At 39.1% G+C, this 23,923-nt stretch overlaps 1 long non-coding RNA gene across 1 annotated transcript in view, besides 3 other annotated features; it reads right to left on the bottom strand.

Moving 5' to 3' along the window:
* LINC01828 (long intergenic non-protein coding RNA 1828) overlaps positions 1-23,923 on the bottom strand; it is a 202,799-nt gene that overhangs the window by 14,635 nt on the left and 164,241 nt on the right. Inside the window, exons 2-3 of the long non-coding RNA NR_110564.1 lie at positions 9,418-9,613; positions 5,972-6,126 (exon numbers count right to left, since the gene is read on the bottom strand). This is a non-coding gene — a long non-coding RNA (long intergenic non-protein coding RNA 1828). The remainder of the gene's footprint in view (positions 1-5,971; positions 6,127-9,417; positions 9,614-23,923) is intronic.
* Positions 6,004-7,910: an enhancer, noted in NCBI's record as "HHc2:066683". NCBI's record gives its function as "enhancer in hindbrain, neural tube, muscles" and the evidence as "EXISTENCE:transgenic organism evidence [ECO:0001131][PMID:22448256]".
* Positions 6,004-8,003: a biological region, named in NCBI's record as "HHc2:066683 enhancer downstream of MEIS1".
* Positions 6,231-8,003: an enhancer, noted in NCBI's record as "E14 enhancer". NCBI's record gives its function as "enhancer in anterior and posterior lateral mesoderm" and the evidence as "EXISTENCE:transgenic organism evidence [ECO:0001131][PMID:24022755]".

Genomic DNA, 23,923 nt, shown 5'->3' with positions numbered 1-23,923 from the left:
CAGTGGTAGCAATGCCAGTACCAAAGCATATTGTGCACATTCCTCAAAGGCGCAGGATGGCATTCCAGCTAAGTTTAGTAAAACTAATCTGGGTAATGGCCTGAAGTGAAACCACCTTTATTGGTTACGTAGCTCAGTTGCCAAAAAGGTGAATTGTTTTTATATTTTCTCCATATACAGCTGTGTGAATGTTTGAGTCCTTGGATTAGTAAAGCAAGCGAATCAACTGAGAGAGAGCATTCAGGGATGTGGAACTCATGTAGACTTGGTATAGAAGGTTCAGCAATCAGTGAAGGCTTAGGAAATTTTTATCCTTCCAGTCCAAAAGTAACTGAACTCAAGTTTTTGCGAAATTGATTTTCTATAGAACAAAGCCAATGTGTTCATTTACAGTGAGAAATACAACTGCCATATGGTCTGGAATATTTACATGAGCGTGACCCATGTGTACTCTCACCGTTGGCAGCCTGTGATAGAAGCCAAATGATAACCAGCAGGTTGCAGGGTGAGCTCTGAATTCCAAGAAGGGGCATCGGTTACATGGGTGGAATATTTAATGCCTTTGGGCCAAGAGAGTTCATGCGTCCATCTCAGGAAAAGGAATTGGAATGTTTGCAGCCCGTTGGCTAAGCCTCCTTTCCCTCTGGATAGCAATAGGATGCTGGGAATAATATCATCTACCCTTCAGTGCTGCTGTGAGGGATGGAGATGATGCACACCTCACGGTGTCTAGTGCATTGTAAAAAGGCTCACAAAATGATGGTTATTTTAACCTTTGTGACTGGGCTTTTGTGTCTGACCAAGCGCTTTTCTTCACTTCTGAGTGATGTTTTCTTTCTTTTTGCTATTCATGATCATAATTGTTAAAATTGTAGCAATTTGGAAAAACCAGGAAAACACCCCCAAAAAGCTATCCTACTACTACACAGAGAATAAAAAGCTCTTACTAAGATTCTGGTATAGAGTCTTCTCCAAAATGTGACTTCGGTTGAAATATAATTGTCTAATATGGAAGGACAGAACTATTTGATGCCATTAAAATTCTATATTCAATCTTTCCAAGGGATCTGACCTAGTTCATCTGCCTCAACTAAAAGTTTTCCATAATCTGATTCTGCCTTGTCTATCTCTGGCTAAGCAAAATAAATAATGAGAAATAAATTGTCTGGATTGGGTCTTCAAGTCACACTAAACCAGGTAGGTAAGTAGCAGGCCAGAAATGATCTGTGAGGGGAAAAAAAAAGGTACTGTTATTTGCAATGTAATTCCTGGTGGCTTGGACGCCAGGTCTGGAGTGCCAGGAGGGAGGTGGAGAAGGAAGTGGGGGAAGGTAGATAGAGGTGGGGAATGGAAAAGAGGACAAGGGAGGTGTTTAGCTTTCATTTGCAAGCGTGATACCCGCTGCTTTGTTTATGGATTTGATGCTATTCATATAGTCTTTGCAATATTAATTTTTAATTTATGATGCTCATTAGGAGACACTTAAAACAGAACAATTATCATTTATCTTGATATATTATTTACTAGGACTGACTGTCATGGTTAGGGGCCCATGATTAGTGAGAGGGGGTTGGAGAAGAGCTTCCAAAGGTGCTGGGGTAAAAGGATAGGAGCTTAGGAAGCAGTTGTCAGAACCCAAAGCCCAAAGTTCTGATGTCGAAGCGAAAGCCACACAATCCCTAATCAAGACTCAGGAGGCCCTCTCCAAGACAAGCCTGGAATAGTACTTAATGAACCTGCAGGATCATATTAATGAGACGCTCTCTTAGGCTACCAGCTCATCAATTATTCATCCAGCTGCATTCCTGATACTTCACTATCTTCCTCCTCTTTTTGCATTGGTGTGATTACTTTTTTTTAACCCTCCATTTCCTTACCTGGAGTGTAAACAAAGCCTTCTGTTCTACAGTTTCCTTTTCCTCTGCTCAAACACCATCTCTTCTCAATACTCATCCAGGATATCAAATATGATAATGGAAGTCTGCTACAGGGGAAGTGTAACTTCTGGGAGTGTCAGGGAATTAGGGCACCCCGACTTTTTGCCTCCTTCATACTCTGGGTTTGTCTGTACATTGCGCTGATAATCACACTGTGTTATAATTATCTATTTATGTATGATTCTTTCCCATTAGATTGTGAATTCCTAGAGAATGCCTGATATGTAACAGACAGTTACTGAATAAGGAAATGAGTCAATGCATAAATGAATGAATACGGGTGCTCAGTTATGCCTAATATTCAGCCCTGTCTATCTATAGTCAAGAAGATTGTGAGGCTGAGGCCTAAGCACTGCCTGCATGTTCCAGAGGAAGCTAAATGAAACAGAACAAAACAGAATTCTACGTTTACAATCTGGGTCATTCAGGTGAAGATGTGTCTGTAAGCTTGGTGTAGAATACTCACTAAGTCTCTGTGGTAATCAGTTCTATATATGCTTATTTTAATAATTTGTTTTAAAGAAATTACTTACCACAATCAACCATAGTTTTAGGCACAGAATTGTGTTTTATACAAGTGAGAGGAGAATTTCAGTGAGCTTTTCTGAGTGAAGACCAATGTGCTTAATGGGGAGGGAGCTTTGGAATGGGACAGCAGCTGAGCTTGTACTAAGTATATTATTTGGTTCACTTGCTCAGGGTCAATCAGGAAGCCAGTTTCCCTTCTTCAGGAAGAGAAGTGCTGGAGGTTGTGATGCTGATCAAGGTTATTACCCCATACAGATAGTGAGGCTAGAAAAAAAACAAAGACTGCAAGTGTTTGTCATTTGTCCTGGGCAGGTGGGATGATGAATGGTAGAGGTAGCACTACCTGAAAGGCAGATTGACAAGGGGAGGCAAGGCATAGATGGGTGTGAGGAACTGTCTTGACATTCCATCCCCCAGCATTATCTCCAACTGGTTATGACTACTCAAATACTAGAAAAGAGAGCAAAGATCCAAATGATTAGAATGAATAAAAGAGTTAAGAATATGGGGATATAATTGTTCAGCTTTGGCAGGCAGGCTGCAAAGCCAAAGGTGATTGGAGACTTTTGCCAAATGGATTCTTGTTAAATCTCAACTAAGTTGCAATTCTATGGGGTTGTATCTAGAGAAGCATTGTCTGGAAGTTCTCTCTATAGACCTTCATGTTGGCTCTCATCAGTCAGTCATGCTGAGAATGGGTTATAAGTGCTTGGGCTATTGCTGTCCTTACTCCTTGGGGCACCTAGCTGGGCTGGGATGGTTGAGACCCTCCAGCTGTTTGTTCTGCACCAAGAGAGGCCTTATCCATTGATCTTACATCATGGATTCTAAAATGCATGTTTTTTTTTCTCTCATTTAACATTTCTGAAATTGGAATGTGTTTCCCCATAAATATTTTACAATTGCTTTTGGCCAGGTGGCAGTGATAAGGTAGTTGTTATTGCCTGCACATGCCAAAACCTGGTCACAGCTGTTCATATTATACAAACTTCAGTTGAGTGATGTGCATTGTACTGCTCGCATTGGGTTGAGTTTCCCTTAAAGTGTCTTCAGTAAAATACACTATGATTCAGCATTGAAACAAAACAGTTATTATGTACATGGAAAGGCAGGGAAACAGAGAAGTAGGTATAAATGTGATGTTGATAAAGGAAAGTAAGTCACAGAAGTGATGAACAGACAAATACTTTGCGAGTTTTGAAGAAAGGAAGATGCTCACAAATAGATGAAACCTGTCTGAAGTGAAGCTCTTCAATTAGAGGTGGGAAAAATGGTTTTCTCTTTTTTAGGGATATATAAAGTAATGATGTGTCTTTCAGTGGATAGATTTTTAGTTTCTAATCATTTTCTGTGTATGTCATGGTATAAAATATATTGGAAACCCTGGCTTTAAGCTCTTGGATTTTTTTTTTCTCATTTGAGCTTTCTGGTAAAGAAATAATTTAAATTCAACTTAAACTTTTTAAATTATTAAAATAGCAGTATGGTTGTGTTAAAGAATAGCTACCTTGTGACTGATTTGCCATGTCTTATATACAGTATTAATTTTTACCTAATTTCAGTTTAGCTTTACATGTTAAAGATGGAATTGAACTGCTGGTCCTTGAGGCACTTTAAGCTCAGGCAATTGATATAAGTGGTGGGTACTGAGTCCAGCTTTGCCATTCCCAGAGGGAGCAATGGGAAGCTCTCAGAGGGTGAGAGTCAATAGGTTCTTTCTGTGTTATCTATAATATCTATAATATACACTATATACTGACTGTATGTGATTAAACAGGATACAATCTCTAATTTTTGGAGGTCTAATTAGAGGCTGGCCTCCAACAATCACTAGCTTCTTCATCAAAACAGAGTGGGTCATTCTGAAAATGCAATTTAAGGATATAAATTAGAAAATCAAATGATTTTAGGTACAAAGTATCTTGAGATGATTTGGTTCAATTCTTTTCTTTTAAAAATGCGTAGACTAAAGCCCCAAGAAATGAAATGGCCACCTGGCATCTCACAGCTTGTTTGTGGCAATAATTAGGCCTTCTGTGCCTGGCGGAGTGTCCTGCCACCATCACACACATGGGTCTTGTGAGGCAAATTTCCACATAAACAAAATGTATAACTTTTTGTGTATTTTAATTATGTATAAAACCTTATTAGATTCAATTCTTCTTCTAAATCTTCATGCTATTTGCACCGATGAAAATTTATTGAGATTTCGTCACTAGTTAGAGATTTAATCCTCGGCTTAAAAATACACTCCTCAGTCTTAGAAGTTTTTACTTCTGAGTTATTACGACCTTGGTAATTTTTACTGTTCATCCTTTAATCTTTCTATTTTCCCAATAGAAAAAATGTAAACTTGGAAAAAAATGCTACACTCTCTTTTGGACTTAAAAATGCATCAGCTTGACTCTAATCAGGAGGATAGAGATGGGGAAAGGAGGGAGCAAAAGTCATTTTCTCTCCTCTCTATTCCACTTCCTCCAATGGAATTGACAATATATTTTAGAGGCCTATTAAACTGATAAATACATTCTGGATGGAATGACCCATCTTACTGATTTTAGGATATGACATTTAAGGGCTTCTGAAAAAAGAGCAGAGAGGGCTTGCCAATATATCTTAGTATACAACAAATTGAGGTTGACTCTGCCTTGCTTTTTTATGTTTTGCAGCAGATGAAGCTTCAAAACTAAAATAGAAAGGAATATATTTACAGTGTGTAGTATGTGTGTGGGTATCTAAGATATAACGTGTATGTGTACACATATAGACACACATACCTATGGGCTTCATATATGACATATATTTTTCTTCCCCACTACGGATCTTAAAGGTTAAGAATACCATTGTCCAGTATGTCCACAAAAGCCTGAGTGAAGCATCACCCTTCTCTATACAGAAACTTACATTTTCTTGAGTATTTATTCTCAAAATTAACCTCACCTTGGTTGTGTAGTTTATCTAGATTAAATATCAAGTATCTTTTCAAATAAAAAATAAGAAAATAAAAAAGAATTTAAGAATAAAGAAAACAAAGAAAGAAAAGGAGAAGGAAAAAGGTACTCTCTCTTCCCTGAAATAAAATAGAAGGCGCATGATAACATCAGAGGGCCTTTCAAAGCCACGCCTAAAAGCCTGGTGCCTGGAAAGATGACACATGATGGTCAAGTACACTGAAACTCATGGCTTGAGTCACTATGAAAATAATTAATACATGTATTATAAATCTGCCTCTTGACAATCTATAGAGAAAGGTTATTAGAATGAACAATCAATTTTAGAAAAGTGATAGCATGAAAACTGCCTTTCAAAATAGAAATATTTTAATTTACTTAACCTATAACTGTTTTACAACATGAGAAACTTTGCTAGATTTTTTTCTCGGAAGTGTTTTGTTGTTGTTTTAAAAGTCTTTGAGATAATAATTCAAAGTTGTGCTGAGCTGTGGAGTGAGCACAGCAGTTGAGGTGAGGGGTGTTATGTCCAGTTCCTGACAGGGACTTACTTACTGGGTATCTTATGGAATCAGCTCCAGGGCAGGCAGTCCTGAACCTGTGTGTCCCAAAATGTATGGGGGCTGGCTAAGATCATTGCTGTAATTACCTCTAACTTCAAAATTCTGTGGTTCATTTGCTTATCTTGAGTGATGAAATCTATCTGGAACCTTTAATATAAATGAAGATAGAAAATAACCGTTAGATCATAAGAAAAAATTCTACATCCCTCCCCTGCTCAAAATGGAAATTTTTCCCATTGGAAACTATATTCTGGCTTCAATTACCATCACGTACACTTGCTAAGAAATTAAATTTGTCAACTGTTATTTCCAGTCACTAGCAGGGCATAATATTTTCAAAATGTCATTTGGGCTCATTCCTCCTCAATACAGTAAAGCATCAAAGTTGAATGTCCACTTAGGCTATCTCCTCTTCACCCTCATGTCTTAGTTATTTAAAGAACAATGCTTTTGAGTAACAGAGTTACTGTTTCCTCCTGATATTTTTTTTCTTAGAAAATTCAGTTTCCTTGGCAGCTCCTAAAGGGAAAATTCAATCATGAGATGTACCATAGAAGAGGGCACCATGCTACTTTTAATATTAGCCCTTCTTAATCTAGATAAGGTCATCTAACTTTTCTGATTTTTGCCTGGGGAGAACCAGCCCCCGCCCAACTTTATTTTTTAAACATATATCCTTTTGTCTGGTTGGCCAGTAATTGACTTTGTCCCTTTTTTCATTTATTTCCCTGTCTCCTGGTTGTATCATCTTCTCCCAGGAGTCTCAGGTTAGAAGTTTTCCCTTTTGTGAAACCATGACAGGTGCCTAATTGAATGATGAATGTCCCTTTATTACTCTGTAATTGAACTGCCAGCTTTTTGATTGGTTTGTAGAGATGCTCCCCCCAATCATCAGGCACTGCAGGGGGTTTGGTAGTTGGCAGTCTGGTCCTACACTCCATCTGTCTAATCCCATCTAGCCCCCACTTGCTTTTTTGGGGGTGGTGATAGAGGTAGAGAGTGAGGGGGATGGAAGTCATAATAAATTATGCTAATTCCACGTGGCTCTGACAATGAGAAGATCGTATTGTTCCGTGCATCTTGGGGGTAAATGCTTCAAGACATTTTGTCGTCATGGGTGCCTAGCCTGACAGGCCCAGGATGAAGATTAATGGGCCTCACCTGAGTGACAGAACAGGGGATTGTGGGGAAGACAGGGTCATTCATCATACTCTGACAGGTGTCATTCAATCCGACAGCAGCTCTACTGTCACCCAGCTAGCAGTTCCATTTTTCTGCCAGTTAAGCAAGGAGTTTAATAACATCCCCAGAATTAAAACTCATTCTTTGTAGCAGGTCTGACAGCTGAAAATAAGAAAATCAATTCTTCACATGTTATAGCACAGTTAACTGACTGGGGCTTTGGCTCTAATTTAGTCTTTGGGCTGCATTTCACGCAAAGAGCTTTTTGTAAGACATCGTCTATTAAAATTTACCCATAGTGCTAACTTTGGGGTTGTTATTATTGTGGGTGCATCAAAGACTCAGGCTTTCATACCCTGTGTCATTTTATTCAATGCATGCTGAAACACATCCCTGCAGTAACTGGGTCTCTCCTAGTTTATCCTCATTAACAATATTTGCTGCTTCTCTCTTCATTAATATTGATCCCTTCCCCAACTACCAAGAACAATAAGACAGACACTAATTTGAAACATTCGGTATCATTAAACTGTTTGGATTTCAGGTTTTAGGGATCCTGGAAGGCAGAGAAAATGGTTCAAAAATTAAGAAGGGGAGTTAAATTTTGGTGCTTTAGCTTGACCTGATGAATGATGACACTCTAGGTTGATAGGTGTGGTAGACTGCAAAACAGAGATCTGGATTCCTTTTGTCCCTCTTCTTCTCTACAGAAGTAATCTATCTCTTCATCTCCATGAATCTTATGCCTGTTGTTTTGTGGCAGAAGTAACCCTATGTAACTTTGAAGCCTGGAGCTTAGGAGATCTATACTTTCTACTTTTACTCCTTGTGGATTTGAAGCCTGGAGCTTAGGAGATCTATACTTTCTACTTTTACTCCTTGTGGAACCTAGATACCATGTAAGATGTTGGTTCACCTTGCTGTAATGAAGCTCAAACTAGCTGCATGGAAGAAAGAGAGGCTACATGGAGGTACATGAAGGCCCCAGACATATGAGTGAAACGTTTTTGGACTTTCCAGCCTATTTCAGCTGTCAGCTGGATGCAGCCACATGGCAGCCATCTTGGACATTCCAACTCTAGCTGATGCCATACAGAACAGAAGAATGGCCCTGCTGAACACTCCCTAAATTTCTGGCCCACAGAATTGTGAGCAAATAAAATTGTGGTAGTTAAAACCATTAAATTTTGAGGTAGTTTGTTATATAGCAATGAATAACTGAAGCTGAGGGTGAGATATTTGTGCCACATTATAAGGGAGCTAGGTACACAGCTGTTTTCCTGTAAACACTGGTGTGAAAATGTTTAGTTTTGGAGGCAACATTGTTTCCCTCAAAGACTCCCTATTTGAGTAACTTTGCCAACTGTTGTTGAGCCCTCCCCCATGATCACTTTCTCTTGTATATAACAGAATAGTTTTCAGTACCTTTTTTTTTTTTGGTTGATAGAAGCTGTGCCATTGGCTGAAGATAAATTGTCACATTATTTCTATCCTTCATAGTCTCCTTATCCCCATCTTATACAGCTAGGGTCAAAGAGGGCATTTTTGTAAAATAAATTCCAAAATTGGAGTATTTAATTCATGGCACAATGCTGAGCATAAAGGGATGTGAGTTACAGACATTGATGAAATAAAGCAGATTACTGGTTAGCCTCACAGGGTGCCATATAGGCACAGCACATATAGATAATTATTTTCTTGTGAATTATCTAATTTGAATTTCAGTGGCAATTAGATTAGCCAAAGACTTTGGTAAAATAATGTATTGGAACATCACAAATGAAAATTATTCTATCTCTGCTGCCTTTAAGGAGACAGGCACCATAATTATAACTCTTTAGAGTTACAAGTAATAATATCAGAAAACGCTGGGGTAAAAGTGTGATGTGAAAGACAGCTATTTGTTTAAGGAGAAAATCTTTAAAGGTACATGTTATAAGTACACAGAGGGCATGTGATAACAGTTTTGGACTTTCCAAATCCAAAAGTCATGGATATTTATTATAGCAGAAGAGCATCTGAAGTTCGGGGAGAAAAGAATTCTATAAAGGCAATAGCATCTTGAGGAACGTCTTGAGCCCGTGGTTAATTCCAGGGAATGAAACAAAAGTAAAGATCACCACAGCAACTTTTATTTTAATAATTTATACAACAGAAATTTTTCTTTCCTTAAAAACATCCTTCAAAACACACATGTGAAAGTTTAGACATTGGGTTCATGATACAATGTCTTTGAGACAAATAAGTTCTACTTGCCTGAGGAGTCTTAAAAAGAGGCCACTATGGTGCCGTGATGTTGAATGAATGGCCTCTGTTGGCCTTGCCTCGTTAAGAATTTCTGCTGGGTGCAGTGGCTCATGCCTGCAATCCCAGCACTTTGGGAGGTTGAGGTGGGAGGATCACTTGAGAAGGAATTTGAGACCAGCCTGGGCAACATAGTGAGACCCTGTCTCTACAAAAATAAAAAATAAAAATGAAAATTAGCTGGAAATGGTGGTGCATGCCTGTAGTCTTAGCTATTTGGAAGGCTGAGATGGGAGGATCCCTTGAGTCCAGAAGTTAAATGCTGCAGTGAGCTGTAATTGCTCCATGACACTCTGGCCTGAGTGATAGAGCAAGACCCTGTCTCTAAAAAAAATAAAAAATAAAAAGATAAAAAATTCTGCTCTCCTCAATTTAAAATTGACCTGCAGACTCACATGACTGTTCAGAGTCAATATCTCCTGACCCCTAAACACGTGTGCTGTAACCTAATGATTTGATTATATCTCCTTAGCATTTTCATGAATTTGTTTCCTATTTTAGGTTTTCCTACTCTATTTCAACACTGATATTACAAAGGATCCCCATCTTGATACTCCACCCTTGGAATAAATGGTGGAACACTTATGTATATATGGTGGTGGACTGTCTCTTCACTGATCCTGCAGACCAAGAATCAATTATAAAACAAATTATCAATTTGTAATAATCTTTCAGCAGCTAGAATAATCAGTTCATTTTAAAGCATCTGGGGTGATACTTTAATACAAAGCATACTGTATTCATTAATGGTTTATAAGCTAGCAGAGAGCCTGGCACATAGCAGATGCTCAAGAAATGGTTAGGAATAAATATTAACAAGCCAATCCATAATTATCAGCTGCTTGACTATAGCAATTAAGAGTTTGTGCAATATGAAAAAGTTACATTCACTGACTTCTAAAAATGTAGTTGAGACTAGGCAATTCTAATTCACTGCCCTGAATCTATGGATGTTTTTGTTTGTAACCAAGTACCAGGCTCTAACATATAAATGATTTATTGGAGGTAGAATTTTGAATTAACAGTTAGAAGAGCCTAGAAATAAACACAGGCACATATGGTTAACTGATATTTGACAAAGGTGCCAAGAATGTGCAATGGGAAAGAGATAGACTTTTCAAAAACTGAAATTGGGCAAACTGGATATCCACATGCAAAAGAATAAAACTGGACCCTTACCTTACACAATACACAAAAATGAACTTGAAACGAATTAAAGACTTAAATGTGAGTCCTGAAACCATAAAACTCCCAGAAAAAATAAGGAAAAGCCTTATTGACATTGACCTTGGCAATGATTTCTTTGATATGACAACTAAAAGCACAGAGAGCAAAAGCAAAAATTGACAAGTGGGATTACATCAAACTGAAAAGTTTCTGCACAGCAAAGCAAACAACAAAATGAGAAGATAACCTAGAGATTGGGAGAAAATATTTGCAAACCATATCCGATAAAGGGTTAATGCCCCAAATATATGAAGAACACATTAGCAAAAACCCAAATAACCCAATTAAAATAATGGGCAAAGGAACTGAATAGATGTTTCTCCACAGAAGAGGTACAGATGACCAACAGGTATATTAAAAGGTGCTCAATGTCACTAACCATCAGAGACATGCAAATCAAAATCACAGTGCGATATCCTCTCATACCAGTTAGAAGGTCTATTATAAAAAAGACGAAAAGAACAAATTTTGGTGACAGTGTGGAGAAAAGGGAACCTTTGTACACAGTTAGTGGAAATGTAGATTAATGCAGACCCTATGAAAAACAGTACAGAAATTCCTAAAAAGTAAAAAAAAAAAAAAAAAAAAAAAAAAATCGGGGTACCATACGATCCAGCAATCTCATTTCTGGGTATATATCGAAAGAAGTGAAATCAAGGTCTTGAAAAGATATCTGCCTTCCCATGTCCATCTCAGCATTATTTACAATAACCAAGACGTGGAAACAACCTAAATGTCTATCATTGGATCAAAGGATAAGGGAAACGTGGCCTATACATACAATGGAATATTATCCAACCTTAAAAGAAAGAGATACTGCCATTGGTGATGACATGGATGAATCTGGAGAATGTTATGCTAAGTGAAGTAAGTGAGACACAGGAGGATAAATACTGCACAGTCTCACTTATATGAGAAATCGAAAATAGGCAAACTCATAGAAGCAGAAAGGAGAATTATGGTTTCCAGGGCCTAGGGGAAGGGAGAAACAGAGAGGTAATGGTCAAAGGGTACAAATTTTCAGTTATGCAAGATGAGTGAGTTCTAGAGATATATTACTGTACAGAATAGTGCCTATAGTTAATAATACTATATGGTATATTTAAAAATTTGCTAAAAGGGTAGATCTTCTGTCAAGTGTTCTTATGACAATAAACAATAATAATAAAGAGGGTGGGAGGAAGCTTTTAGAGGTGATGGACATGTTTATGACATTGACTGTGGTAATGGTTACATGGGTATATACTTACCCATAAACTCAAGTTGTATACTTTAAATATGTACAGCTTTTTGTATGTCCATTATACCTCAAAAAGTGTTTTTTAAAAAATGTTGGCTGGGAGCGGTGGCTCACGCCTGTAATCCCAGAACTTTGGGAGGCCAAGATGGGCAGATCATGAGGTCAGGGGATCGAGACCATCCTGGCTAACATGGTGAAACCCCGTCTCTACTAAAAATACAAAAAAATTAGCCGGCCGTGGTGGCGGGTACCTGTAGTCCCAGCTAGTTGGGAGGCTGAGGCAAGAGAATGGCGTGAACCCAGGAGGTGGAGCTTGCAGTGAGCCGAGATCCCACCACTGCACTCCAGCCTGGGCGACAGAGCACAACAAAAAAGAAAAAGAAAAAAAATTGTCAGTAACAGGTCCGAGTGTAGTGGCTCAAGCCTATAATCACAGCACTTTGGGAGACCAAGGCGGAAGGATTGCTTGAGCCCAGGAGTTCAAGACCAGCCTAGGCAAAATAATGAGACCTCATCTCTTAAAAAAAAAAAAAAAAAAAAAAAAAGGCCGGTAACATGTGGAATGACTACACTTACATCATGTCATGGAAACCTAAATGATACATTACTTAGTGATATAGTTATCTATGTAAAATTAAAAATAAAAGCAAATAAATTATATACAAACAAAAATGAGCCAGAAGACTTGGATTCTAGTCATGTAGACTCTGCTGCATAGGAGGTAACTTTGGACAAGTCACTTCACATCTCTCAACACCAGTTTTCTTACTTATATAATTGAATTCATAATATAACCCTTTATGAGGATCACCTTGTGTGATGTGTATTAAAGCAATTAGCCGAAGCTTAGGTTAGCCCTATGCCTACCGCCCTTACCATCCTGCTTCCCTGGCAAACCAGTTGAAACTTATTTAAATATTTTTTACACTGTGACTGAAACTTCAAATGTCATATATTAAAAACAAAAACAACCTTTAAGATAGTAATCTAGGAGCTTCTGAAATGTATAAATAATGACATCAAACTTCATTTTGTTTTTAGTCCAGACAAACCTTCTGCATAAACACCTATTCCATGGCGTCTTTACGTATGGCCCCAATTTTTCTAAGTAATAGAAAACCAAAATGTATCCTTGGGTTTTGTAAATGGTAATGCACATTGTCTATGGTAGCAGAATCTGTACAAAGGAGGTCATCATTTCCTGGGAAGAGAAGATGAAGAAGTGAATTGAAGAATACAAAACAGAAGGAAAGAAAATGAAAAAGCACCCCATCATCAGATGTGAAGGTCCTAGGGAGTAGAACTCAAGAAATCTGTCAGCTTGAGCAAAACTCAGAACTTGGGGATGAAAAATATGAATGCTAAAACTACAAGTGTGCTGATAGCCTTTTTGCTGGATGGAAAAGAACAAATAATCAACCCACTACAAAGATCGAATCGTGCCGACAGCTCCAGAACGACAGCACTTACTTTGCAGTATGACATGTAGTTTCCATTCAGGGAAGCCCCAGTCAGAGGAGCAGTGTTCCAGTGGGTGGGTCTGACGTCAGGAAGGTGGATTCCATCCGACTTACAGCTGCACCAAAGGCCGACTTTGGCAGCAATTCCTGGGCTATAATTTTATAAACAGTCTTCTCTTCCCAGACTTCCAATGTGAATTTAGACCTCAGCACAGATTCTGTCTCACATCTTTATTCTGTGTCATCACATTCTAATCCGATGACAAACAGTTGGTCTGAGATTTCAGTATATTACTATATTAGTACAATTTATGTCCTGTGTGGAAGTTGATGAAGTGTAAAGACTATACTGCGGACTCGCCTGGATTCTAATCCAGCACCTAAACGGATAGTGTTGCTTTGGTGATCACAACAGCACTGTGTTATGAAATCAAATAGCTAGTTTGTGGTGCTGGCTCACTAGAAGGCACTGGCAGTGCTATTAATCACATTTTCCAAAAACTGGGCCAAAGCGCTGTGATTCTTCTTAAAATAATCATCACTATAATTTGGCATCGAGTCATGCCATGTTTTGCTTGATAAGGTTTACAGAAATATTATTTTTAAATGCATACTCTACGTTAAATAAGAAAGATATGTAGAATGCAGTGGATTCAGCTGAGTAGTCAGAAGATAACTACAGAGGTTACACGAGGCTGCCACTGCCCCATCAAGCAGACAGCGGCTTGATTCTCCCTGCTTAGAGAAAGAGGTAGTGCTAGATGGCAAACCAATTAGCCAAGTGCATTCTCATTCCAAGTTTCCTTCAGCTTATTTTTATTTTTTTTTTTTTAAGAAATTTCCACCACTTGAAAGTAGTGCAGTCTCCTGGCACATCCCAGAAGAAGTAGACCTTAAATAGATGAGCTCAAGAAGGATAGAAAGTAAATCAATTTCCATTTTCACAAGCCTGAGTCTGCTTATTTTCAGAGAGGACAAATCATGCAGAAAATAGTGCCAAATTACTCATGGTTTAATGACAATTTCGCAGAAAAGGCAACTGATCTCCACAGCTGTTATGCTCAGGACTATGTCTGGAGAGAGGTGGCTAGACCTGGATTGGGGTATCAGGGTGAGGACTTAATGCCTCAGGGACTAAAGCCTCACTCTGCTTCCTGGCTTGGCGTGGTGATGTAAACAAGATGCTCTACCTCGGGCAGCTGCCAAGTTGCTCTGCAGTACTCAATGGTATTTGTCATGTCTCCTTATGGCTGGCCTTTTTATCCTTGCTGAAACAAAAGAGATCAAACAATGTCATGTGGTATTACTTGAAGTAAATTCTTGGCCAACTCAACTATTTGCATGATAGTGTCTGGTTTATAACTTCTCTTTATTTTTGTTAGATCAACAGATATTTTTCAGGCCATGCTCCTTTTTGAAAGGGTGAGTATACGGGGAGGGATTATGTGCTAATTTTGCTGGACTATTTTAAAACTTTTAAAAGGAAGAGAAGTAGATGATTAGGCCTTTAGTCATGAGACATGACCTCAGTTTTCTCATAATGTTAAACAGGTAGATGTTGACTTATTGGGCTATTTCTTTCCTTGAACATTGCTCATTGTTGTTAGGGCTATGACATCAGCAGAGGCATGGGAACGTAGTACATTTTCTATAAGTGTGTATCAATTTCCCTATCTCATTGGGCTTGCTTTCATAAATATTTTTTAAAAATTTCTCCACCAGAGCACATCCAAAAGAAATACATGACCCGTATAGATAATTTTAAATTTTTTAGTAGCTACATCAAAAAAGTAAGAGCAGTGAAAGTAATTTTCATAACACATTTTATTTAACCCAATATATCTAAAATATCATTTCAACATAGAATATTACAAAAAATTGCTAATGATACATTTCACATTCATTTTTTCATACCATGTCTTAGAAATCCAGTCCATACAACATACCTCAATTTGAACTAGCCACATTTTAAGTGCTCAGTAGCCACGTGGGGCAGGTGGCCACTGTATTGGACAGCACAGATTGAGACTAAACATGATTACCCCAGCTGTTTTCAAAGTGTGTTTGCAATACCAGTGTAAGATTTTGCAGTATTCAGAAATAATCAAGGCTATAGAAGCCTTATATTATTTTATGTGAACACTTTCAGCGTGTCAAGGCACAAAATAAGTATGTATAAATTTGCTTGCCAGCAGGATTTCTTCTTAGTCACCTATTTAAACTACAAGGATGCCAGTAACCCATAGTGAAACCATAAATATTGGATTTATTATTCCTCCTTTCAATGGTATGACAGACATGTGTACTTAAATGGAGAGACAATTTACAATTGTGAAACATACTTTTTATTATTCCTGTCAAAATTATACTATTTTATTTTTTTTAACTAGAAAAGCCACATGATAAGTAAACTCTAGATTGAAATTCAGAAATATCACCCCTAAGATGAGAATACAGTTGACATACGGTTTGGGTGTCTGGGTCATGGTTTGATTCCACATATGGTGGTTCTTCCATGTAACAAACTGTGATCTCAGCTTGTACCACTCTAGTAAGAAGTCACTATTACTTTGATTTGATTAGCTAATCAGAATCTAAGGTTTAAGTTGAAAGGAAAAACAGGAAGATATATTTAATTCTATTATTTGTGAGATGAGAGGGCTGGACTACAATCAGGGGTTGACAAACTTTTCTGTAAAGAGCCAGGGAGTAAATATATTTTAGGTTTTGTGGGCCACACACTCTGATGCAAGATTCAGCTCTGTTGCTGCAGAGGGAAAGCAGCTACAGAACATATATAAATGCATAAGTGTGGCCAGATTTGGTCCAGTATTTGATCACCGGACGAGGTCAAGGACAATAGACGTGATCTATTTCTACTTCTCCCATCCTCCTAAGCAACGCTGGCTCACTGAATGCAGCATCCCCACTGAGTGTAAATGCAGGTCACAGTCCTTTACAACATAGTACTCCAGGCAACCACTACATGACATTTAGAATTGGCATGTTCATTGAAACTTAGTTTTTGTTATCCCTAGATGATTTATAGGACTGTATCTATTTGAGAAATTATCATTTTTACCATGGATATGCACTTTAATATTTGGAATAAAGAAAAGAGTACTATACACTATGTTTTAAATTTAATGGAGGTGAAAGGAATTTTTAGAAACTTGTGTTGTTTGAGAAAGAAGGCCTGCTACCTGCATTTGTCCTGGGATAGACTGTAAGCTATCTACTTACCTCAGGGTCAATCTGTTCTTGGCAGAAAGATGAAATCTGCTCATCACCATCCAGCCTTTAATCTGAAGAAGAGGAATAGTGATGCCATGGGATATGACATTGTTCAAGGGAGAGGTCTAGTCTCCTTACCAGCAGAGGTAACACCCATTTTGTAGGTCAATTGAAGGACCTTGCTTGAGATCCTGAGGCTCGATTTGAATGTATGGCTGTAGGAGGATAGTATTAGGCTTGGGGGCTTATGAGGAGTAAGAATAACAGACAAAGATATTCTAGAAGGCACTGGAGATAACCACCTTGTTATTAGAGAAAAAAAGGTTAACGTTGCTTCTGTTGATTTTTGGAGAATTCATAGGGTTTTTTTTTTCCTATTGAAAGTTGTAATTCTAAGGCCATAAGGTGGCTTATGCCTGTAATCCCAGCACTTTGGGAGGCCGAGGCGGGTGGATCACGAGGTCAGGAGATCGAGACCATCCTGGCTAACACAGTGAAACCCTGTCTCTACTAAAAATACAAAAAATTAGCTGGGTGTGGTGGCATGCGCCTGTAGTCCCAGCTACTTAGGAGGCTGAGGCAGGAGAAAGGCGTGAACCCAGCAGGCGGAGCTTGCAGTGAGCAGAGATTGCGCCACTGCACTCCATCCTGGGCGACAGAGTGAGACTCCATCTCAAACAAAAAAAAAAAAAAAAAGAAAATTATAGTTCTAAAACAGATTATTTATTAGCGCTTTTCTTTAAGGGCCATAGACTTCCTCTACTCATACTTTTATGCTCTGAGTCATGCCTGTGGCATAAATAATAAAGAACTGATTATTTTTCCATTACAACGAATGAGTAGGATGAGTTGGTTTAGGTATCCTATTCCATTCCAAGAATGGTTTCTTGGAATGTGGATCACTGAGAAGAAAACAACATTAACATCAGCAATGGCAAACTAACGTCATTGCAGAATCCTGGAATGTTAAAGCAGAATCATGGCAGTTAAGCCCAACATTTTACAGATGAAGAAATTGAGGTGAGAAGAAGTGAGACCTTGACTTGTTCAAGGACACTCAGCTAGTAATGACTGAGATTAGAACACAAATCTCACTCTGCATCCAGTACACTTTCTGTTTATACTCATTAGTGTTTTCATGTTTCCTATTTTCTTCTCTTTGGCAGACAGCTAGATCCTCCTTCCAATCATTCAGCGAAGGTCTTCTAGGTGCCTGGTGCTATACCAGGTTCTGTCATGTAGGTTACTGTATTTAATCTTTCTGAATCTCCACAGCATCTCCCTGCTATTATCCCCATTTTACACTTGGAGAAACAGGATCACAGAGAGATGAAGTGATGTGGCCAGGTGACATGGCCATCAGGTGACAGAATCGGAATTATAATCCAGTTCTCTGTACTCCAAATCCGAATCTACTGCACTAGATTTGGTAGGAATGTTTAGCTAACATTTGAAATAGTTGACTCACTTTTTAACTTGCAGGTGGAAAATAGAACAGCAGTTGCTTTACTGACTCTAAAACCAGCTGCTTGAATTGTGGTTGCCCCTGTCCTGTTCCCTCTGGTCTCTGTTGCAATGTTAGTTTCCTTAGTGAAGCAATGGGTGAGAAATAAACAACATAGACAAGCTGTGGGAGGTGAGGGATGCCATTAGTCTTAGGTTTGTAGGTTTAGAAAAGATCTAGAGGGCAGATACAAGAACTCCCTTCTCTTTACAGACTAGGAACTTCACACTCCAAACCATAAAGCAAGTTAGGGTTGAGTCCTAGAATAGGGGGAGAGTCAATAGGTTCTTTCTGTATTATCTGTGATACCTGTAATACATACTTGATACTGATTGCATGTGATTAAACAGGTTGCAACTTGTCTTTATTTTTTGGAGATGTAATTGGAGGCTGGCTTCCTCATCAAAACAGAATGAGTCATTGTGAAAACACAACTTAAGGATATACATTAGAAAATCTAATAATTTTAGGTACAAAGTACTTGAGATGATTTGGTTCAATTCTTTTATTTTACAAATGCATAAATGAAAGCCCAAAGAAATGAAATGGCCACCTGGCATCTCACAGCTTGTTTGTGGCAATAATTCGGCCTTCCGTGCCTGGTGGAGTGTCCTGCCACCACCACACACACAGGTCTTGTGAGGCAAATTTCCACATAAACAAAATGTAGAAATTTTCATATATTTTGTTTGTGTATAAAACATTATTAGAGCCAATTCTTCTAAATCTTTGCGCTATTTGCTCCAATGAACATTTATTGACATTTCATCACTAGTTAGAGACTTAATCCTGGGTTTAAAGGTACACTCTTCAATCTAGAAGTTTTTACTTCTAAGTAATTGTGACCTTGGTGATCTTTGCCATTCATCTTTCAATCTTGTCTAGTCCACTCTAGGAACTTGATGCTTCAAACCACAAAGCTGGTTAAGGCTGAGTCCTAGAATAATAAAGTCATAATAATATAGGTAGTCTTAGTTCTTGCTCCTATTAAGCTGTGTGGTTGCAGACAGTTTGTTCTCAATATATATGTATGGATCCAGACTGAGGGTTGTCCTTAGGGAAGTTAACTCCCCTGCACTTATGGCCTGCCCGGTAAACAAGCTGTCGGAGATTCTGTTGTTTAAGAAAAATTCTAGAGTCAGAAAAGTAAGGTGATGCTGGCATGGGACTTGATGTAGGACACTGCCAATGTGCATGGAAATGCTCACCAGGCTGCAGCTGACGTCTAAGGTGGCCAAGGGGAGGTGGCATTTGCCACAGTTCACCTCCTACCCCACTCAGTGACACTCGTGTGTCATATTAGGTCCACTCTGTCCCTGACATTTCAGAAAGACTTAAGACAGATATGTATAGTCCCCTCTGCTACAGCTGGGAAGTAATTAATGAAGAAATAACTCTCCTGTTCTACTCATTCTGGGTTTTTCTCACTTTCAGCCAAATGTTTCTTTGGCTCATGGTGGGCCTCATGTCCTCTTCCTTGAGGGGTCTGGTTCTTGGTTGCCTTACTTTTGTCAGGTTGAAGTTGCCATGACTGCCCTTTCCCTGTTCTCACAATCATGACAGCACCAAGAGGTGGTTCCCTGGCATGAGCTGGCCAACGGAACTAGGCAGTGATCATATTTTTAGGTACAGAGGTCTCCTTACTGTGTCCCCCTGGGGAAACATTCCTCACACTCCCCACGCTGCCTCCCACGAGGACCTAGAACCTCTAACCCAACAGAGCCTTAAGCGGTAGTGATGAGACACACAAATTCAACAGGTGGGTTGCTGGGAGATCATGGCCCTGTGTATTCTAGCTATTGGGGCATAGCCTCACATATTAGGTGTAGACTTTTTGCAGTGTATATCCTGGGGCGTAGCACCCTGGCACTGCAGGTTGTGAACCCTGAGCTGGCACCTTTGTGGAAACTTTCATAGGATGATCCAGTGTTTTTATCAGGTCAGCTGCTTTCAGGTGGTGCCATATGTGGCAGTGTCAATAGATCCCATATTCCCATGCTCACCTGTTCATTGTTGCATGTCCTTTACTGAACAATGACAAGCATTGATCACTAAATAAATGATACATCATTATCATGGTTAGTGCAATAAAGAAATGTGCTGCTTTGAGAGGTTATAATATAAGGCTTGGCTATATAAGAGTTTTTTAAATAGGAGAGGTTATGATATTTTTCCTTGCCAAAGAGATCAGGGAGGCTTCCCTGAGGAGGTGATAATTGAATCACCTTGTGGAGAAGGCCTAGGAGTTGTCTAGGTGCAGAGGAATGGGAATAATGGTCCAGAAAGAAGGAAAAGCCTGTGTGAGCATTGGACATTCAAGGAAATGAAAGAAGAGCTCCTGGCTGTGTATAGAGTTTAGGGAGATGTGGTATGAGAGAAGGATGGGGAGAGAGATGAGGCAGACTCCAGTCAAATGAAGGAGCTTTTATTTTATCTTAAGTGCCATGGAAAGCCATGGAAGCACAGTTGTTATGTAGACTTGGGTGCATGAAATAGGAGGGTGGGGATAAATAAATCAATTTTGTAAACCAACTTTACAAAGACTTCCCTGGCTGCTGAAAGGAGAAGGCATCAGAAGGGCCAGAGAGAAACTACAAGCAGATCTATGAGGAAGCCACAGAGTGTGCAGGTGGGAGATGATGGTATCTCGGCCCACTGGAAGCCCTCAATAAATCACGTTGCCATGGTTGTTGTAATTGCTTTTCTAAGATGTAGAGGACAGGCTCATGTTGGCTGGAAAGCATACATTTCTTTTGGATTTATTTGGCTTCTTGGCTTTTTCAGGAGTGAATGTGCACTTGTAAAGGCATAGATTTGGGAGAGACATGGAAGCACAGAATGTGTGTATCAGTGCTGTGCCACGCCAGGCTTGGCTGGTGCCTCTGCTCATGTTTAAAGGCTGTCACCTGGACCCAAGGCATTGCTTTGCTAATCTGGTGACATCCACAGCTGAGTGGTCATAGCGCAGTAAAGAATTGAGATGAAGGCGATGGAGTCATTTGGGTAAATACAGTGGCAGTGTATTAGTCCATTCTCCCACTACCATAAAGGACTGCCAGAGACTGGGCAATTTATAAAGGAAAGAGGCTTAATTGACTCACATTTCTGCATGGCTGGGGAGGCCTCAGGAAACTTACAATCATGGTGGAAGGGGAAGTAAACATGTCCTTCTTAACATGATGTCAGGAAGAAGTGCCGAGCAAAGCGGGAAAAGTCCCTTATAAAATCATCAGATCTCTTGAGAACTCACTCACAATCATGGTAACCACTCCCATGATTCAGTTACCTCCCACAGGGTCCCTCCCACAACACATGGGGACTATGGGAACTAGAATTGAAGATGAGATTTGGGTGGAGACACAGACAAACCATAACAGGCAGGAAAGGAGGAGTTAGTGCAAAGCCTCTCTATACCAATCTCTTTTTTTCTGGGGGTCTTGGAGATTAACATACCTGCCTCTCTTTAGGCATTTTACTTAGATCACAGATAGTGAATCACTGGACACACCAGGCTCTTTCTGGGTCATGAGGTCCACTCTGCCCAGAACACTGTTCCCCCACTCCACTCATTTCCTTCACTCATGCACTCACCTTTCCAACTCCATATCAGCTCTGGGTGCACTGCTCCAGGAGGCCTTCTCTGATCAGCTCACCCCACCCACGCTGGGTTGCTGCCTCTCTTCTCCTTTGTGTTCTCAGAATCTCCTCTGCTGACTCCCTTCTTCATTATCTGTCCACATTGGACCCTCTCTGGTCATATGTCACTCTCTCCCTAGGCTGTGAATTTCTTGACAGCAGGTGATAGCATCTCATTCATTTTTGTATCCTTAGAACCTAGCATGATGCCAGAAACTCAAATATAGACATGAACAAATGGTTAAAAGAAGGAGGGGATGGATATAAATGTCACTTGCATTTAGACAAAAAGCAGACAGATGAGACTTGATCAGTCAGGAGAAATGAAAACACTAGTTTGGGGTAGGCCAGTATGGTCGGTCTGGTGGTGTTGGTAACGGGACAGGCCTTTTTTGCCCCCACGTTGTGTTCTTGTCTCTTTCTGCTAGGTCCATTCTACCTTCTAATACCTCAGGCTGCACTCGTGACTTTCTTTGGTCTGATTCTAGGGTGAGGTAAATGCGAGGAGAGCTGAAGAGGCAAGTGCTGGGGGTTGGGTGAAGAGGCCAGTTTTTATGCACCATGTTGGGGTTAGCACTGGATCATAGGTAAGGCTCATGTGGTGTCTTCAGAGGGGAAATTAAATAACTTATTACCAGCTAGTTGTTTTAAAAAAACTTTATTAAAAAAACAATCCCAACTTATTTTGCTCCTCAAATTAGTGCATGTGGGTAGAATATCAGGTAATGTGAAAAGAGGAGACCATAGGTGGTGATAACACATGGGGCCTTGGTCCTCTGTCAATCTGCTTTCAATCCCCAGCTCTGCCCCTTTCTCCCTCAGGGGCTCAAACAAGCCACTTAACTTTACAGAACCTTGGTTTCTTTATCTGTAATTGGAAGGGATGCTAGTTTTTTCCTGATAGGGTTGTTGTGAGGATGAAATGAGATAATACCCGCTTAGCACAAGGCGTGGCATATGGTAAGCCTGGAAGAATGTTAGCCAAAGCTATTACGATAGATTCATTTGCATTGTGTGCCATTGTATGTTTTAAATGTTTCATTTGTTTAGGTATTTACCTATGAATCTTTCTAATGCAAAGTATCATTTTTATGCATAGATGGCTCAAATTATTCTGTATATATACTATTGAAATTCAGAAAATAAATATAAAACTGAGTTTATTTAGAATAAGAGCTTTATTTTGCTGCCATTGACTTTTCTTTTTGATTTAGGAAAAAAAAATACTATACTTTGTCTTTTGAAACTAATCAAAACTGCACTTGTTCAATTTATTCAGCTCCGAGTGGTTCTCAGTAGCATTATCTCAACTGGGAGATATAAAATCATTGTAACTTTACATTCTTCCATTTTGTCTGATATGCCTAAACTTAGCAACTCAGGGGAGTCATGTTCTTGCCAGGTAGGTAGAATGCTACTGTTTTAGCTCATGGCAGATACAGACATCTCTTTCAGGAAGAATGGAAATTGGGTAAGATAAATCACTTACTAATAATGGCATTTACAAATATCATTAGCTTTTCTGGAATGTGGTCCATTTAGGGTTCAGACTAAAGGCAGCATACTGTACTAGAGAAAGCACAAGATTAAGAATCAGGAATGCCAGTTCTAACCTTTCCTAGCTGTGTGACCTTGAGCAAGTCACTGAATCTTCCCAGGCTCACATTTTATTCTTCTATGAAATGAGGCTAAAATAATTCCCTGTTGTGAGTATTGATGGAGATTCTATTATAATTGTGAAGAAATTATGTATATCACCCACTCCTCCCAAAGGAGAGGTTTTCTCAGAAGTTCTGATATTCAAATATGTGTATATTTCAAAGGACACAGAATTGGTGATGTCAGTGACTATGAGTCTTATCTTATACCTGCCAACAACATATCAGGTGATATATATATATATATATGCCACCTGATCAATGATAATATAGATATTGGTAATACAGCTATAATGGTAACATAGATATAATATAGATATTCTATATTTATATAATCTAATCAGGAATATATGAGAGAGAAAAATGTAAACAGTTTATCAATGGACAAATATCTTTCCAATATACCAAATTTTTCAACACTGAAAATTTATTAAAAGGAAGAAACTTTTCTTTCAATGCAGACTGTAAATAATTTCCCTTTGAAGTGTGTTTGCTGAGC

This window comes from Homo sapiens, chromosome 2 (assembly GCF_000001405.40).
Source record: "Homo sapiens chromosome 2, GRCh38.p14 Primary Assembly".
NCBI classification, from domain to species: domain Eukaryota; kingdom Metazoa; phylum Chordata; class Mammalia; order Primates; family Hominidae; genus Homo; species Homo sapiens.
Note: the sequence above shows the minus strand (reverse complement) of the source record. Positions and strands in the feature narration are given on the sequence as shown.